Raw genomic sequence first — 20,312 nt, forward strand, 5'->3', positions numbered from 1 at the left:
ATATTAATTTTAAAGTAGTTTTTTTCTAGTTCTGTGAAGAATGTCATTGGTAGTTTAATAGGAATAGCATTGAATCTATAAATTGCTCTGGGCAGTATGGTCTTTTTATTAATATAGATTCTTCCTATCCATGAGCATGGTATGTTTTTCCATTTGTTTGTGTCATCTCTGATTTCTTTGAACAGTGTTTTTTAATTCTCTCTGTAGAGATCTTTCACTTTCCTGGTTAACTGTATTCCTAGGTATTTTATTCTTTTTGTGGCAATTGTGAATGGGATTGCATTCCTGATTTGGCTTGCAGCTTGGTTGTTGTTGGTGTATAGGAATACTAGTGATTTTACACATTGCTTTTGTATCCTGAGATTGCTGAAGTTGTTTATCAGCTTAAGGAGCTTTTGGTCAGAGACTATGGGGTTTTCTCAATATAGAATCATGTCATCTGCAAAGAGTGACTTCCTCTTTTCCTATTTGGATACCTTTATTTCTTTCTGTTGCCTGATTGCCCCTGCCAGGACTTTCAATACAAATGTTGAATAGCAGTGGTGAGAGAGAGCATCCTTGTCTTGTGCCAGTTTTCAAGGGGAATGTTTCCAGCTTTTGCCTGTAAAGTATGATGCTGACTGTGGGTTTGTCATAGATTGCTCTTATTACTTTGAGGTATGTTCCTTCAACACCTAGTTTGTTGATAATTTTTAATGAAAGCGGTGTTGAATTTTATCCGAAGACTTTTCTGCATTTGTGGTTTTGTCTTTAGTTCTATTTATGTGATAAAGCATATATATTGATTTGCGTATGTTGAACCAACCTTGCATTCTCTCAAGTAGGGATAAGGCCAACTTGATTGTAGTGGATAAACTTTTTGATGTGCTGCTGGATTCAATCTGTCAGTATGTTGTTGAGGGATTTTTGCATTGATGTTCATCAAGGATATTGGCTTGATGTTTTCTTTTTCTGTTGTGTCTTCCAGGTTTCAGCATCAGGATGATGCTGGCCTCATATAATGAGTTAGGGAGGAGTCCCTCCTTCTCAAATTTTGGAATAGTTTCAGTAGGAAAGGTACCAGCTCTTCTTTGTACATCTGATAGTATTCAGCTGTAAATCCATCTGGTCCTGGGCTTTTTTAGTTGGTAGGCTATTTATTACTGATTCCATTTCAGAGCTTGTTATTGGTCTGTTAATGGATTCACTTTTTCCTGGCTCAGTCTTGGGAGGGTGTATGTGCTCAGGAATTTGTCAATTTCTTCTAGATTTTCTAGTTTGTGTGCATAGTGGTGTTCATAATATTCTCTGATGGTTATTTGTATTTCTGTGGGGTCAGTGGTATTATCTCCTTTGTCATTTCTAACTGTGTTTATTTTGATCTTCTCTCTTTTCTCCTTTGTTGTCTAGCTAGTGGTTTATCATTTTATTTCATTTTTTCAAAAAGCCAACTTCTGGATTCACTGATATTTTTAATGTTTCTTCCTGTCTCAACCTCTTTCAGTTCAGCTCTGATTTTGGTTATTTCTTGTCTTCTGCTAGCTTTGGGGTTGGTTTTCTCTTGGTTCTCTAGTTCTTTTAGTTGTGATGTTATGTTGTTAAATTGAGATCTTTCTAACTCTTTGATGTAGGCATTTGGTGCTATAAGTTTTCCTCTTAACACTGCCTTAGCTGTGTCCCAGAGATTCTAGTATGCTGTATCTTTGTTCTTACTACTTTCAAAATAACTTCTTGATTTCTGCCTTAATTTCATTATGTATCCAAAAGTTATTCAGGAGCAGGATACTCAATTTTCATATAGTTGTATGATTTTGAGCAAATTTCTTAGTCTTGATTTCTAATTTGATTGTGCTGTGGTCTGAGAGAGTGCTTGTTATGATTTCAGTTCTTTTGCATTTGCTGAGCAGTGTTTTGTGTTTATGTGATTGATTTTACAGTATGTGCCATGTGGCAATGGGAAGAATGTATCTTCTGTTGTTTTTAGGTGGAGAGTTCTATAGATGTCTAGCAGGTCCATTTGATCCAGTGCTGAGTTCAGGTCCTGAATATCTTTGTTAATTTTTTATCTTGATGATTTATCTAGTACTGTCAGTGGAGTGTTGAAGTATCCCACTATTATTGTGTGGGACTCTAAGTCTTTTTGAAGGTCTCAAAAAACTTGCTTTATGAATCTGGGTGCTCCTGTGTTGGTTGTATACATACTTAGGATAGTTAGGTCTTCTTGTACAATCTGACCCTTTACCATTATGTAATGCCCTTCTTTGTCTTTTTTGATATTTGTTTGTTTAAAGTCTGTTTTGTGTGAAGTTATGATTGCAACACTTGCTTTTTTTCTGTTTTCTATTTGCTTAGATTTTTCTTCTTTCCTTAATTTTGAACTTATATGTGTCATTGCACGTGAGGTGTGTCTCTTAAAGACAGCATACCAATGGGTCTTAGTTCTTTATCTACCTTGCCATTTTGCACTTTTTAATTAAGGCATTTAGCCCACTTATATTCAAGGTGAGTATTGATATGTGTAGATTTGGTCCTGGCATCATGTTAGCTGGTTATTTTGCAGACTTATTTATGTGTTTGCTTTACAGTGTCATTGGTCTGTGTACTTAAGTGTGTTTTTGTAGTAACTGGTAATGACCTTTCCTTTCCACATTTAGTGCTTCTTTCAGGAGACCTTGTAAGGCAGGTCTAATGGTAATGAATTCTCTCAGCATTTGCTTGTCTGAAAAGGATCTTATTTCTCCTTTGAATATAAAGCTTAGTTTGGCTAGATATGAAATTCTGTGTTGGAATTTGTTTTCTTTAAGAATGTTGACTATAGGCTCCCAATTTCTTCTGGCTTATAAGGTTTCAGCTGGGAGGTCTGCTGTTGGTCTGATGATTCCCTTTGTAGGTGACCTTACCTTTCTCTCTAGCTGCCTTTAACATTTTTTCTTGCATTTTGACCTCGAAGAATCTGATGATAATGTGTCTTGAGGATGATCTTGTGAAGTATCTTACATGGGTTCTCTGCATTTCCTGAATTTGAATATTGACCTCTCTAGCTAGGCTGGGGAAGTGCTCATGGATGATATCCTGAAATATGTTTTCCAAGTTGCTTATACTCTCCCCATTTCTTTCAGGGATACCAATGAGTCATAGATTTGGTCTCTTTACATAATCCCATATTTCTCAGAGATTTTGTTCATTCCTTTGTATTCTCTTTTCTCTATTCTTGTCTGACTGCTCATTTCAGAAAGCCAGTCTTCAAGCTCTGAGACTTTTTCTTCCACTTAGTCTATTCTGCTATTAATACTTGTGACTCCATTATGAAATCACTTAGTGTGTTTTTCAGCTCTGTCAGGTTGGTTATGTTCTTTTCTATACTGGCTATTTTGTCTGTCAGCTCCTGCATTAGTTTATTGTGATCCTTAGCTTCCTTGGATTGGGTTTCAATGTACTCCTGCATCTCAATGATCTTTGTTCCTATTCATATTCTGAATCATATTTCTGTCATTTCACCCATCTTAGCCTGGTTCAGAACCCTTGCTGGTGATGTGGTGTGGTCATTTGGAGGAAAGGAGGCACTCTGGATTTTTGAGTTGTCAGGGTTTTTGCATTGCATTGGTTCCCTCTCATCTTTGTGGGCTGACATTCCCTCAGTTTTTGAAGTTGCTGACCTTTGAATGGGGTTTTTTCTTCTTTTATCTTATTTGATGACCTTGTGAGTTTGATTATGGTGTAAGGTAAATTCAGCTGACTGGCTTAATTTCTGGAAGATTTTAGGGGGCCAGTGCTCAGCTCCCAACCTCTAAACTGTGTGCTCTAAATCTGGGGGACTTGTATCAGGCTCCTGAGTGTTCTTACTGGAAACACTCAGGCTCCAGGCTCCTGAGTGTTCTTACTGGAAACACTCAGGCTCCAACTTTGTTCTTTGGCTCCTCGAGGTTAGGAATCCACTGTGGTGGGGGTGCTGAGGTGGTCCCAGACCACTGGTCATTACACTCTAATAAGTAGTGTCATCCAGAGTTTCATAGTGTGGTGACAGTGGGATCTGTCCTAGGTCACATATGCCAGCAGCAGCTGCAGTGGCAGTGAGGTGGGGTGCACCCTCCTCAGCTGCAGCAGGGTGCTAGTGGGTGCCAGGGTGCCTGCCTCTGTGCGGGTGTTCACCACAGTAGTGGAGGCAACATAACTCAAGGGGACCAGGGGCTCCTGCTGGCAACTGTGTACACAGTTGTGCTGATGGTGGTGTTGGCACGGGGTGGAGCACTGGCAGGCATAGGTCTGTGTGTGTTCTCTGCACCACAGGCAGGGGTGGTCGCTCAGGGCAGGGAAGGGTTTGCTGTTTTCTGTACCTAGTTTCACTCTCGCAGCAGTGTTGGTGCAAGAGCAGGGCACTGGTGGGGTTGGGGCTTGCTGGCTCTGTGCCTGTCAGGGCTCTAACTGCAACGGCAGTCAGTGTGGGGAAGTGGGATGGGCTGCACTCTCACTGTAGCAGGGGCAGGGCAGGGCAGGGTGTATGCACACGCGGCACTGGTGGGGTAAGGAAGACAACACGTGCCTGTGCAGACACGTCCAGCAAAATAATGTGGGTGGTTGCTGTGGGCACAGGGGAAGCTGCTGTGTGGGGAGTGGTTGAGCTGATGCATGGCCATGGGGGCCACCCTGCTGGAGCACTCCACTGGTCAGGCATGGTTGCCAGTACAGGAGCTATGATGTGGGTTCTCAGGGCACCTGAGGCTGCCTTGCAAGCAGGCTGGGCCAGGCTGGGGCCTCAGGAGAGGCCAGGAGAACAAGGAGTGCCCAAATCAGACCAGGCTGGTCTGATGGGTAAGACCAATCTGCAAAGTTCAGGTCCGACAGTTCTCCTAGGGCTAAAGTCTCCTATGGGAGCTACTTGAACCTAGGGGGATGGCCGTCTCTGGCTGTGCTTTGCTACAGATGCACTGGCACCAAACCATCTGAGTTCCACCTCATTGCTGCCCCTACCACTTCTGTAAGCAGCTCTCCCTGCCAACTCAGGTGGCGGTCGAGGGGTCTCCTCCTGCAGTGATTCCAGAGCCCTGTGGTGAGAGCCATTTGCTCCTTGCCAGGAGTTATTGGGAGCCACGAATAAGTCCTGGTGTGCAGTAGCCCTGTGCAGGGTTCCCAGCTTCCTCTCCCTTCAGCCCAGCTTCTGTGTCTTCCCTCTGTCCATCCTCAGGGCCTTCCCTCTGAAGATCTGTTAGGAGTTGTCTTGGTCCCTCTGTGGCAGCTGTTCCAGTTGGCTGCATCTAGTCAGCCAACTTGCGCTCTCTCTGAATCCATGCTTTCTATGGAAAGATTTTCCTAGCCAAACCCATCTTTGGCGTAATTTCACTTATATATTTATTTTTATGTAACCTTTAAAAAAAGTGCATTAGAAGTTATCTATAAATCACCTATAATAAAATGCACAGATCTTAAAGGTCCATTTGATGAATATTGACAGTCACAGTTTCACGTGTAACCACCACACAAAACAATATACAAGACATTTCTATCATTCAGAAACTTCCATCCTTCCACTTTCCTGTCAACTGCCACCCCCCACTCACATATAACTGCTTTCTAACAACTATAACTAAAGATTAGTAGTGCCTGTTCTCAGACTTCATGTAAATGGAAACATAGAGTGTATATATATATATATATATATATATATATATATATATATATATATATATATGTGTGTGTGTGTGTGTGTGTGTGTGTGTGTGTGTGTGTGTTTCTCTCTTCTTTGTATCAGTATGATAATTTTGAGGTTCATTCATGATGTTTTGTGTAACAGTATATTGTGCCTTTTTATTGTTGTGTAGTATTCCATTGCACAGATTTGCTTGCATTTTAAAGGGGCTTTGCAGGAAGAAGAGCCTTTTCTCAAAATATGAATTAGAATATAATGACTGAAAGAGAAGTGTAGAACTAAAGGGCATAATGATCTGTGTTGAGTACTCACTGTGGATTTCCTGTCATATCTCTCTCCTTATTTAGGGACTCATCATTAATAGTGTCAGTGGATTTCTTCTTTCTTCTGTGTGTCAACAGCAGACCTACACTTGATAGCATTTTGGCCACTAACCTTGCTTGACCTTGCACTAACCCTCTTGCTATCAATTTCAGACTCCCACATCTGGGGCCAGACCCACACAACTGTTCCTATCACTGCTACTCCAGCTCCTCAGACATTCCATCAGCCAAGGAGCTCCTTTGCCCAATTCCCTCTAAGAACTGCAAGATGCAGCAGCAGTCCCACATCCTCGGCTGCATGTATCTGGCATGCAGGTGTTAGTTTTTATAGTGCACCAGGTAGGAGAGATGCCACTGGAGTAGGCGAGGTTCCCAGGCCCCTTTTTTTGGGGATTGTTCTTTTCGTGTCCTCACACATACTGATTTGAATGTCAAGACAGACAGAGCTGGGTAGCTGAGGACAGAGGGGAAGGAAAACTGCTCATCTTGGGGCTTGTCTTTGAGAGGCAACTGAACAATTTTTGATCAATTACTGAATAGCACAAGCCTGGATTCTCCAGAGAGGTGATTATGACATGAAATAAGCACACTCTACAGGTGTTTCTGGGATGCATAACTCCAAATATACAGTTTTAAAGAAATGATAAAATAAATGATTTTCCCAGAGAAACTGAAATTGCATTCTGAAGGGTGACTTGGCATGATGTTCAGTTAGCTGATATATGGCCTCTTGCAGGTATTCCTTTGCATCCCTAGTGCAGTGAAGAAAGCCATTACTACCAGGGAGAAGCATGGGAGTAGTCAGTGGCACATGGCTGTCACCACTTGTCTTACACTGTTGTTAATTTGTTTAACAATTCTGCTTAGCCACTTATTCACACAGTATTCTTTAGCAGCAAGGAGAAAAGTATCAGGGCAACCAAGCCATGGCTTGGAGCCGTGACGTGTGTAAATGGAAGGGTTAGTTTTATCTGACTGTTCTTTTCTTCCCTGTCATTCTTTCTCCTCTCTTGAAACTCAGGCTCTCAATGGGTGAATATCATATGGCATATTTACATAATGGAATAATATGTGATGGTGAAAAATGTGTAAACTAGAGTAACATGTATCAAAATGGATATATCTTTAAAAGTACAGAGTAAAACAAAAACTAAATTACATATGTATGATATGATGCCATTCATGCAAAATTTTAAAATATGCAAAATGATTCTGTACATTGTCTAGGGATAGTTACATATATGTAAAGCTATAAAAATATGCTTCAGATTAATATCCTCCAAATTCAGAATCAGGGTTTCCTTTGGTTGGCGGGTTGGAGAGAGATGCACTTGGAAGGAGTACACAACTATGCTTGTAATGTTTAATTTTCTACACTAGGCCATGACCCAAATGTATTTGGTATATTGTTATTCAGATATTTTTATATATTCAAAAATATTTTACAATACATGAATAAAAATTAATAAAATAAGATCATTGTTGGTTTATATTGTCTAAATCATTAAACTTCCAAAGGTTTAATATTCATTCATTTTCACCAGCTGCCAAACTCAAGATTTTGGCAAAAAATGAGATTGGTGTGGAAGTGGGTGTTCTCCGTGTTCTCTGATTTTACAACTTTTAAATGTCAATGAATTGTTATTAGAAGGTAGTTTGACACTCTGAGACAGATACATGGTATTATGTCCACTTAATTAATGATATAGGACACAGGATTTTAGATAAATGCTGGTGTAACCCCTTTTCTCATAGAATTCTGTAATTCCTGTATTCATTTATGAAATATTTATTGAGGCTGCTATGTCTATTGCTGTGGAGTAGGTATCAGGACAGGTGCAGGTAGAAAAAATGTCACTTTACAAAATGTAGAATACAAAATGAGAAGTAGAGAAAAAACCATGATGAATTCTAGCCAGCTTGCAAAAAGGAAATGCAGCAAAGTACAATGGACATAAATCCGTTAGGAGCATCTGTACCAGATTGGATAAATGGGGTTTGCTGAGTCATTTCACTTTGTCTGAGTCTGGTATGGGATGCTGCAAGCTGGACATGGGTCAGGGCCTTCTGGAGCTGAGATCAAACCTCTCAGACCTCAGTCCAGGGCTTGCATTCCTTTCTGGATTCTCAAGATCCTGTAGCTCAGATCCTGTGAGAAGAGCCCTTGTCTAATGAAACCTATGAAATCCATTCTGGGGACCATGCTGGCCTGGTCTAGAGATGTGGGCAATGCTGACATCCAGCACGCTTGAGGATGCAAGGAGCACCCTACGAGAATAGAGATGCAAAGGCAGAGGAAGAGAAATGATGCAATTTCCTTTTCAGCTAGGGAGAAGGATAGCAGAAATGAACAAGATCTGTGAGGAAATTTATATTAGGGGATAAACAAATGAGTTCTGTGCCTGCCTCTTTAAGTCTCTTCAATGCCATGTTCATTTCTCTTTTTTGATTACCAGGTAGTGCTGTCCTCAGTCTCTTGGGGCATACTTCTTTCCCGATCTGGCACAAATGACCCCTCAGGGCTTAAAGACTTGAGAATGACAGATGATCAAGGTATGCATCTCTTAATCAAGCTGCTGTATTTGCCCATATAAAGAACTGTTTAAGAAACACATCTAGCAGATCTCTGCCTCCAATGCTCACATATTATTTAACTCCAACTTTTACTTTTGAAAAATCTAAAGAAAATCTTATTCAGGCTGCGACCAAAGGAGAGGGAAAGCTAAAAATGTCCTATGCAGGGGAAGGACTTTTTTTTTTTAATTTTAAATTCAGTTGGTGATTTTATTAGCTGCTGGTCTGACCTTCCAGCTAACTTCAGGATTGTTTAGGTTAAGATTGAAAATGTAAATTTGCATGGCAAGAGTGCTTTTCCAAAGGATGCTGTTTAGATAGCTCTTCAAATTGTTGGATGATAATGACTATTGTCCCTTACCTTTCAAAGCTGAAGGAAGGTCTGCAGCCTGTTTACCTGCCCAGCTTATCTAGTGAGAACCTACCATGTGTCCAGCCATGGGCTAGGTCCTTTCCATCCAATTAAACCCCTTTGCCAGAATAGCAAAGATCACATTTCAAAAATATTATTCTCACGTATTTACAGATATTAGGGAACAATCCAACAAAAAACAAAACCATATTGGTAATGCTATTCTAGAAAATTCAACTTGTTTTACTCTTCCTGGCATTTTCCTTCAGGAAAAGTAGTTTGATAGTGAAGATAGTGAGATGATGGGACTTTACAAGGAGATTAGGTCCACAGATTTAAAAAAAAAAGGGCCAGATGTGCAGGTCCATGTCTGTAGTCCCAGCTACTCAGGAAATCACTTCCTGATAGTGGGAGGATTGCTTGAGCCCAGGAGTTTATATCAGCCTGGGCAATGTAAAAAGCCTTACCTAGTAAATCTCCAAGCAAGTGCCTCTAGAAGTATTCTGGGTGCAACAGTTGCCCTCTATGGGACTTCTGTCTTAGGCATTACACTGTCAGATTGATCCCCATCTCTGAAAGCCACTGTTGGGTCCCTGCTGCAGTCTGAACTCCTGGGAAATGTAGCATAGCTATTCCTCTTCAACCAAAGATTGGGAGCACTCACTTAAAGGTAGGTTTATGGAATGAGAGGAAGTAGGTATTTGACCATTACTTGCCATTCTTCCCGCTTGGAACATTTGGGCCTTTCTTGAGCTGTTCGAAGTGATGAGATGACATAATAAGCCAGATTTCTACCTTACTGTGTGTTGTGCATAATATGCTTTACTGCGTACTTCAAATTCACTAATATATGCACTGAACTAGTCATCCAATGTACATTAATTATCTACTGAGACCAAGACCAGAGTGATCTGCTCAATCAAAAACCATTCATATTTTTGAAAAATAAAATTTACTGCTTTTATACAATTTATAATTGTTCTCCTTTTTTTGGGCACTTGGTATGTGTCAAGCCCTGACATGGTGTTTTTTTCATACGTTACTGTTAACCATGGCAACAATACAGAGAGGTTGGTATTAGCATACCTATTTCATAGATGAAGAAACTGGGGCTGAGAAATATTACGCGACTTGCTCAGACTTGTATAGACAGCCAGTGGCAGCATTAGGGTAAAAACCCATTTCTTATCATATCTTGGAGTCTGTTCTCTTTCCATTGAACCAAACTTCCTTCCTGTTCAAACCATCAACGTGGTCAGTCCAGACCTGGTTAGATCCCTGCAGCTGCTGAATCCACATGCCTCGTTTAGAGCAACCAGAACAGAGATGTGTTTCATTGGCTTGAGTGAGGAAAAATGCATTACAATAGATGTGCTTTATGTAAAGTGGCCTCCTTTAAAAGGGATTTGCCTTTTCTATACAGTGTAAGACATTAGAAGGGTTTTGCCAAAGTAATATGCTTTCCAGTATGAATCCTTTTCAGGGAACTTTTGGTTGTTTCTCTCATCATTACACGGGGTATCAAGCTGAAAGCTTTGCTATCCTGGCTACTGAATCCTCAGTCACAGTAAAGTTTTAATTTTAGATTTTACTAGCATTGAAAATGTGGCAATAAGACACATAAACAGGACATCTAATCCATGAAGTCTTTTCAGGGGCAGGAAAATTGCTTCTCTGTGGTACAAGGGAGATTTTCTATCTGCCACTTGGAAAACTTGTATGAAATAAACCCCAATTTGGGATGTTTTTGGAGGGCAAAGGGTGATGTCCCCTATCTGATTGGACTTAGTGGTACATTTTAACCTGTGATTTATGCAACTTGACATTGAGGTTCATTTAGCTCAAATTACAAGTAAAGTAATTCAATCCCTAATGAAGTGTACCCTGCATGACATATTGACCATGGGAGCTGACAATCATTGCTTTAAAACAGACATAGGTTCCATTTTCTTTTGTCATTCAAAGTAGGTTATCAGTTAATAAACTTAAAACAGGGCCTGCTGACCTGCCATTCTTCCAGAAGTATTTTATTAGAGCATCAGAAAAGCACATACCAAAATTTACATTGTAATGGAAAAAAGAGTAAAAAACTGCATGAACTCACTGTTGTTCAGAGGAATAGCTTTTCCATGCATTTATACAAGTTCCTTCCAACTTTTTATTTTGGAAATCTTCAAACCTATAGAAAAGCAGAAAACATAGTAACATGAACAGCTGTGTACTCTTCGCTTGGATTAATCAGTTGTTAATATTTTGTCACATGTGTGTACTCTCTCTTTCACGTGTACACACACACAGACACACAATTTTAAAGTAAATTACAGACATCATGACACTTCACTCCTAAATACTTTAGCATGAATCATCTAAGAATCAGGACATTCTTCTATATTACCAAAATATCATTATCATACACCTAAGAAAATTAACAATTCAACAACATAATCTAATATAAAGTCTGTATTCCAGTGTCCTCAATAGTCTCCAAAATGTATTTTAAACTTATCTTTTAAAAATGAGAATGCAATAAAAAATTTCACCTTGCATTTGGTTGTTATGCATTTATACATAATTTTGTGGGGAATAAAAATGAAAACAAAGGAGCTTTGAGCCACAGTGATTGAAAGCACAGTGATACAGTGTTGGTTATGTCTTATGCCAAAGTATTCTTCAAGGATCTCTCTTATAAAGTATGTAACCCATGATAGTGGTCATTTTTTTTTCCAAAATGTTTCAATCAGTACCCCATTTTACTGTATTTAAATTGGTAGGCACATGGAATATGCTATTACCTATTCATATTTTTAGAAACCTCAGTCTCATTGAAGAGTTGAGTGTTTTATTCTGTTTCCATATAAACTGTAGGATTAGAGTTCCAAATCTAGAGGATTTGTTCCAACTCCACTCAAAAAGAAAAAAAAACATGATCTTTCCTGCATAAAATGTTTTTCAGCATTATGTTTAGAATGAATTATGTTTCAAATAATTGAATTTTCTTCTAATTTAGACTTTTCCTTATTCTCCTGAAAGCAAAATGTGTTGTAATTAAAAATGGAAAGAAAAATGAATATTCACTAGGGAAAATGTAATTGTTTTATTACTGCCATGGACATTTGGAGATCAAGTTTAAGAAAATGTGGTTGAATTCAGTGTTGCAAGTGCACTTCTCATCTATAATTACACATGTCTAAGGTCTTGTAAAGTGACTATAATTGCTTTAGAGTTGAATTTAAAGGAAATATTGAGAAACTGCATTTCATGAATTACAGTTTGCATGGATCTTATGTACTTTATTTTATGTCTTTGTACTTTCATTAGCAGTGCAAAAGCTATTGCAGAAAATAGAAGAGGGGAACTATGACCTTTTATGTTCACTTTGCAGAAGATAGTAACTTGGTTTTTAAAGAAGCAAAACAATATTATCCTCTTCCATAATAAATCATAAAAAGGCTTATGAACAATGCAATATATTTTGAAACAAAAACAAAAATATCTTGTCCATTGGTGATTGCTATTGAATTTTAAAATTAGCTAGAAGTTTTTTCCTCCAGCTATATATATATATAATTACTATTTCTTTTTTTGAGATAGAATCTCGCTCTGTCACCCAGGCTGGAGTGCAGTGGTACGACCTCGGCTCACTGCAAGCTCCGCCTCCCGGGTTCACGCCATTCTCCTGCCTCAGCCTCCCGAGTAGCTGGGACTACAGGTGCCCACCACCACGCTGGCTAATTTCTTTTTGTATTTTTAGTAGAGATGGGGTTTCACCGTGTTAGCCAGGATGATCTCGGTCTCCTGTTCTCGTGATCTGCCTGCCTCGGCCTCCTTATATTTATAGTTTTTAGAGACTGCCTCACTCTGTCAACCAGTCTGGAGTGACATGATAATAGTTCACTGCAGCCTTGATCTCTTGGGCTTAAGCAATCCTCCTACCTCAGCTTCTAGAGTAGCTGGGACTACAGGTGTACCACACTGCACTGGCCAGGATCACTTCTTATTATAGAAAGTAGAATGTAGACTGGTGGTGTTGTAAGGACTGCTTACCTGTTCCGGTCCACAGGGCCTTCCACATACACACACATGTCCTGGTAGCTACACATACTTTCTATAAAGTTTAGGGTTATTCTAGCCTCTCATAAGAAAATTCTGGGCTTAAAACATAGCTTCAAAGTGCTGCACTGCTCCCATCACTAACAGATGGTCAAACTAAATACATGTCCATGTCAGCCTGGCTAAATTGGGTTGCAACTCCAACTCTAGAGTATCAATTTAGCATGTGCAGAGATCTTTAATTGTTTCACAAAAAACAAAAACAAAAACCCTAGAGCTGTCTACACAATTGTCTGTAATAAATCCAAGGTCTTCTTGGAGAAACATTTTGCCTCATACTCCCAGACGGTGCTTCACTTGGTGGGAGAATTAGGACCTTCCTTTATTATTTTTAGTTTTGAGTACCTTCTTGGAGGCAAGCTATAGAAAGAAAAGTGCACAAATGATAAGCTTAGTGAGTTTTCACCAATTGAATGTCCCTGCATAACCAGCCTCCAGATTAAAAAAAGAAAAAAAAAATCTGAACATTTCCAGCACCTAGGTGACCTCCCTCATGTCCCTTCAATTCGGGAACCCCAACAGGAACTTTAGTACCTTACTGATTGTAATCTCAGCAAATGAGCTTGCTCTACTTTTTGCCCAGTCCCATTAATTAACTCTTCTTCATTTTTAGTAACAACAGAAATGCAGATGACACGACTTCTTCATTTCTCGAAGCTATCTTCAAGGGGTTGGTAGACATGATGGGAAAACTCTTGAGTGATGCAAATGTGGCTTTTCACCTTCATGCTTGCGGAGTGACTGCTACTTCATACTCCGGAGGCATGTCCCAAAAGGATTATAATAGGGGCAGAAGGGATTGTCCTGGGGCAAGTATACAGTTGTATTGATATAGGTACCTTAGTTACAGCAGATAAAAAACTAAAATTTTCTTAGTCAAATAAGCAGAGTATTTAAATGCATTAAATGCTGGGGAAATCTATAGCTAGGAGGAAATCCTGGGTAATTAACTCTTTAAATGTCAAAAGGTAATGCGGACTTCTTTCTGTATCTACGAGTCTTACTCTCCACATCGAGTGTTACTTCTCCAACCAGAAGAATCGCTTTGTGAAATAATTTGGGCTCTCTTTCTTGCTATTAATGGGACAACAAGGAATGGGATGGGGGAGGCAGAGGGGAAGGGGCGGTCAGTTAGGCCCAGCCCTTCATGCTGATGGGTGGGCATAAAAGGAAATGGACTGGAACCATCCATACCTTTTCAAGGAGTTGTCAACTCAAACTTAAGAAAATAATTCTAGGGATGTTAATATTTTACCCTAAGCCTTTTGATTGTGCATGAAATGGAAGTGGGTGAGGTTTAGCATGTCACTGAAATTTCCCGTTGATGCATATCTACCATTCTGAGAACTGTATCCTGCCTCTTTGATTTAGTGTGACAACTGGATTTTATTTATACAATTAATTAATGTTTGCTTGACCACTTTTTTCCAATTTCTTTCCGTAGCACATAAAAGAGAACCTGATATAAATTTCTCTTTCAAAACAATTGACTTAGCAACTGCTGACCTTCTGTTCTGTCATTCTAAGGATTGATTGGATATTGTTGAATTGTTTCATTCTACAGTAATTAAACATAAAATTAATTATGCTAGTAACCCATTATTTTTCTGAACCAAGGACTAAGTCATTTGTTTTCACTTGGTTACTCAGAGAATCTGCCATTAGTTGAACAGGGAAAAGGAAATTGTACTGTTGCAAACAGAAACTAAATATTTTAAGGCATATTTTAATGGCTAAAATATAATCTGAAAGCTTCTCATTTCCATATGCACAGCATATTGAATTTGTTTAATGTAATTTAGGCCATAAATCTTTTACCTTATGATATGGTCATTTAAATATTTTCTCAGGTGGCTAATCATTTAGAAAACATGTCGAAGAAGAATATATGTTAAGAAAGAGGGGCAGGTGAATAAAACTGGAAGCATCCATAAAGCCATCATGAATCTCTAATTCTTGATTTGGTTTGCTGCTCACCTGAAATGAAATTTACTTCACAAGTCATTTCTTTGTTAGTTTTTTATAGAAAATGCTTAAAATTACCCTGATATTATGAGGATTGAATTTGGTATTGACAGGCAAACAAGTATGGCAGGACTAAATTATCAAAATGTATGTGCTGATAGAGACCAAAATAGGTTTTTACAGTTTTCATTAGTGCAGGCCATATTAATTTAATTAACTTGATTGAAGACAGTATCACTAGATGAGGCAGCAGATACCTAGCCTTGGCCTATTACTCACCCATAGGCTATAAAATGATGCACCTGACACATGGGTATGCAATCTCACATATTTCACATTTGGACTCTGCCTTTTACTGCAAGGTTCCTATGGCTTTGGAATATGTGGTGAACTTCATCAGATGAAATTCCTGATGCTTTTTACAATTCAAGATCCCAATCAGTATTTTAAACATTGAGCAAATCCTTGGCTTATACTTTTACTTTATGCAATTTGGACTGTCATATTTATTATCTAGCCTGCTGAGCACCCTGTTTCTTTATCTGACTATTGTCCTTCCTCCTTAGTTTAGACCCCTCTCCTCCTAACCTGCTTGTGGTTCTGGTTGGGTCTGTGAATCATAATAGCCCACTGTCCTGGCCACAAGAGTGTGTGCGGGGACTAAGAGAGCCAATTAATGGCTCTTTTCAGGATTTGTCTGGTTGGAAATAATAGAGAAGACCAGTTACCTACCCAACATCCATTCTTTCCTTTTCCCCTGTGAAGAAAATCCCATTAAAAAAATTGTGGCAGTGTTTCCATTTGAAAATATTCATCTCCTCACATTCTACTGGAGCCAAATGTATTCACGTTCCCATTTCTGGCCAATGTGATTCAAATGGAAGTCTGCAGTGTAGGGCTTCTGGAATGATATTGGTGTCCTGACAAAAGACTCAGCTGACAAGTGACTTTTGCACTTAATCTTCTTCCATTTTCTGCCTGAAACTTGCACACCATGGACTAGGCTTAAGCCTGCTAAGAACAATGGAGTAGGAATCGACAGGACCCTGGATAATTGATAACTGGCTCAAGTAGCTGTACCAGCCTTGGTCTACTCTGTTTCAGAATTCTTGTTATGAGAAAAATAAAACTTCTGTTTAGTTATGCTCATGTGAGTGGGTCGCTGTCATGCTCAGTAGGACATTGCCCTAATTGTTGTAATTCTTTTCCTATACTAAGGTGGCTTTGTAGAGGAGGCCAGCCTGAGAAAATGAGTCAACCTACAAAGAGCCAAGAGACCAATAGCAAGACCTGGTCTTGTGCCCTGAATTTTTACACAGCCTGGGGTTATATTATGTGAGCCTGTGCAGCCCTGCTCTGCTGAACTTTGCTAAAGTTGGTTTCTGTCACAAATACAAGAATTCTTGGAAATATGAGAATAAAAACACACTCTACGCAACAGATATTCAAAACCTTGAATTAGTTTTTCTTAGCACTAATTCCCTATTTTCTGGGATGGGAAGGAGGAGGCCTGAGTTCTTAAGCTGACAGTATAGGTTTAGGGGCTTTGGAACATCACCCAGCATTTTTGAACCTCAGTCTTCTCATCTGCGAAACAATGTGAACAGATTAGAAGTTCTCTAGGGTAGCTTCAGTTCTAAATGACTATGACTCCATGCACATTTTCCACAAATATGGGCTGGAAGGGGAGGATGTAAAATACAGAATTCAATTATGAAAGAAATGTACTCAGAGATTTACCATAAACACCTACTCCTACAGAGTAATAAAAAAAAGAAAGTTACAGCACAAGTAGAGATTTTCTGTGGATGAGGTTGCACAGGCTCTGGTTATCAGTCTATAAAGGTAGTGTGCACAGAGTTAGGGAAAGAAACAGACTTTTCCTCAGGATTAAATTACTTCTAAGCATTGATTTTTAGATCTGAAGAAGACTTTCATCCTCAAATATGAAAACTATCATACTAATAACAATAATTACAGATAACTACATACTATCAACTCTGCTATTTTGCATGCATCATCACATTTCATCCTCAGTGATGCTTTGAGATAGAGAATCATATTATTTCCATTTTATAACTATTCGCTTTTTTTAGTTACAATCAGAATAATTCCAAATTTGTAAATAGTTAAGGCTTATTATTTGCTGTTTTCAACAAAGCAGAGAAATCTGAATATCAGTGTTGATTCCAAAGATATTTCTCCATTTTCTCACTACATATATTAAAGGAAATAATGGGCTCCAAAGGAAATGTTGATTGGGAATTAATTGTGTAACTGCCTGCAAAACAATTTTGCCTATTAATATACCAGTGCAAGAGAGGATTTTCCTATTGTATAGATCAGTGGAAATCCAGAGGCACTCAGTGATGCAAAGTTGCATTGACCTTGGAGAAGATCTGAGATAGACAAAATCTACATATTTAAATACAAAATTGTCTTTGTAACAAATGTTGATTAGACTTAAGAGGCTTCAGGGACTGGGTTTTAAGAAGAGTAAAAATCCTAACATTTGTTGAGCCCCTTCTGTGGAGCAGGCATTGGGCTACATCCTCTTCACACTGCATCTCATTTAGTCACCAAGGAAGCCCAGCGTAGTAGATATAATTGATCCATTTTACAGAGGAAGAACAGAGGGACTAACTTGCTGAAGGTACACAGGTGGGAAACAGTGAAAGGGGCTGTGAGCTCAGCTCTTTCAGCTGCCAGAGTCTGAGCTCTTGCAGCAGATGGGAGTGTGAGTGTCAGTTTTTCAAATTCCATGATGGGAACCCTGGAAAAATTCAGATGTCTAGTGAATGAAGGGGAAGAATGAGTTGTAGATTGTGACTGGTCTTGTATTCTGAGCAGGCAAAGAGCTGAGATTAAAGAGTTTAACCTGCGGAAAATTTGTTGTGTTGGCTACTAACCAAATCTGTTTTCATTCTCCTGGAAGCTCTGGACCCATGTTGAAAGCAGACTTCTGGTAAGTTTTCCTGAGTTGATGTCTGGGCTTTTTCCTCAAAGGAGATAGATGTGAAGCTCTTAATCTGGTTCCTTCTAGCATGGGGAGCAGAAAGTCAGAAGCCAAGATGCCCTGGCTGATCTGTTCTTCTGTCTTGAGGAAAGAGTATACGTTAAACTATTTCCATCTGATGTAAATCTGAAACACTCTCTGCGGTAAGGGAAGACAGGGGAAAAATTTCTTATCACTCCAAATGAGGAACAAAAGAAGGTAAAATAATTACCTCAGTCCACCAAAAGGTAGAGAAATGGGTCTGGGCCCACCTGAAAGTACGGTGTGCCTTGTGTTCTCTCTCTTCTTCCCCTCTATTCAAGTAAGACCTGGAAACTCTTAAAAACCTCCGGGGAGGTAGGTAACAAACACTTTCTCTTAGTAACTCTCTAAGGCCATCATAGTTCTTAATAACCCTTATGTAAGGATGTTTCCCCTCTAGAGCAAACATAAATCATTTGGCTGCAGGTTAATTCTATTTTCTCTCTTCTCTCTAGTGAGGAGAAAGAACAGCTGTTTACCATCTTCCCAGAGTCAAATTGAACACACTGGAACAGAGAGGTATCAAATCACCCCCAGACTTTCATCATTCAGGCAAAATGGCATTGACATGTCAGTAGTTCTCAAAGTGGTTCTCTGAACAGCAGGAACAGTATCCCCTGGGAACTTGTTAGACATGCAAATTCTCAGGCCCCACACCAGGCCTGCTGAATCAGAAATTCAGGAGGTGGCCCCAGAAGTTGGTGTTTTAACAAGCCTTCCAGGTAATTTTCATGCTATCTGAAGTTTGGGAACTCAATAGTTATGAATGATATCATATGTAGATATTTTGATCAGATATGGGTGACTATTACTAATAATCATTTGAATAATTCGTAATGTTTTTTCTACATTTGTGTGTATGTCTGTATATAAGAATGTATATAATTATGTATTGATTTAAGTGAGATTTCTAGTTTGGAATCAGTTATTCTTGTAAGATACGGTGAAACCAGTGAGCATGAGAATTGAACCTTTGGCTCTGGCCTCATGAGTATACGACTAGAGAAAGTCTAAGAATTTCAGTTGTGTTATGACTTGTGTTAAAGAGTTATGGTCTGCAGAAAGTTTTGAGTTTCTTCCAAACATTTTAAATACTGTTGCTGTGCAATGGTAGTCCTTGCACAGTTCGTAACATCCCCGTTTCAAATCTTACTCTTTACAGAAACTCTCATGATACCATGACCAACGAGATGCTAAGCTGACATGACCCATGGGCCCGCTATAGCTTTCTTTCTAACTCTTGATAAAGTTGACCTATATTAAAGGACCTTCTCCTTGTTTTTCACTCAAGCTTAGCTTTGGGAATCTTGCCTATACTAAAGTGAGATTAATGTTTTGAAACATTACCCAGACCCCTTAATTTGTCTTGATTATTCTCAGATTGTGTTGCACAGTCAATATAACTCCTGTTCTTCCCCCACAAGCTTTAATGAGGTATAATTGACCAATAAAATTGTATAAATTTAAGATCTTCCATGTGATGATTTGATATACTTATATATCCCTATTTTTTGAAGAAGCTGAGAAAACACATCCAGGCTGCAAGACTAGGACAAAAGATTTTCCACCATTTTTATATGGGTGTACATAAGCCAGCAGGAAATCTTTGTCAACCATACCCTTTTAGGCATAGATCATGTCTGTTTCGTTCACTGCAGCATAACTGTAACTAACCTTGGGCTTAGCACAGGTATGTTGTCAATGAAAACTTGCTGAAAGAATGAATGAAGGAAAACATTTTTATGACTATTTCAATGGGGCAACTAGGAATTCTGCTTTAAATGACACCTGGAAGGATATATGAGAAATCTTGTAAAAAACTTTATAGAACCTTTTAGAACACATTCACCCAGAAGCCGATATTTTTAATCTTTAAAATGAGCATGTTCATTAGTTATAAAAAATATGTATATATATGTGCTGCTAAAATATTTGTTTTGGGATCTCAACTCAGGTCATTAAGATGTTCCAAAATATGGTATTTATCTGTTCAAATCCAACTTTTAGTAATAAATATTTGCCAAGGTAGATGTACCCTAAATATCCAACAGTTTATTTAGCAAAATAACTTGTCTAGAATAATCAAGAGTTCTCAAAGAATTACTGGTTATGACTAAGATTGGCTATTAAGACATGAAACACATCATATTCTTTTCCAAATGTTTTGAACCCTTAATGATATACTTTTCATGTTTTTCACTTACTTGCAATTTTTTTGTCATGCATATTCTTCAAACAAAATCTTCTCTTATCATGTTACATGTTATCTCTTTTCTTCCCCTGCTGTCAGCTTAAGATATAAAGTACTTTTTCTTTCAACAAAGTTGG

At 38.8% G+C, this 20,312-nt stretch overlaps 1 long non-coding RNA gene across 1 annotated transcript in view; it reads left to right on the forward strand.

Moving 5' to 3' along the window:
- LINC01798 (long intergenic non-protein coding RNA 1798) overlaps positions 1 to 20,312 on the forward strand; it is a 121,559-nt gene that overhangs the window by 83,289 nt on the left and 17,958 nt on the right. The window contains exons 2-4 of the long non-coding RNA NR_110156.1: positions 8,403 to 8,499; positions 17,883 to 17,912; positions 18,440 to 18,503. This is a non-coding gene — a long non-coding RNA (long intergenic non-protein coding RNA 1798). The remainder of the gene's footprint in view (positions 1 to 8,402; positions 8,500 to 17,882; positions 17,913 to 18,439; positions 18,504 to 20,312) is intronic.

The sequence above is a fragment of the Homo sapiens genome, chromosome 2 (assembly GCF_000001405.40).
Source record: "Homo sapiens chromosome 2, GRCh38.p14 Primary Assembly".
Taxonomy (NCBI): domain Eukaryota; kingdom Metazoa; phylum Chordata; class Mammalia; order Primates; family Hominidae; genus Homo; species Homo sapiens.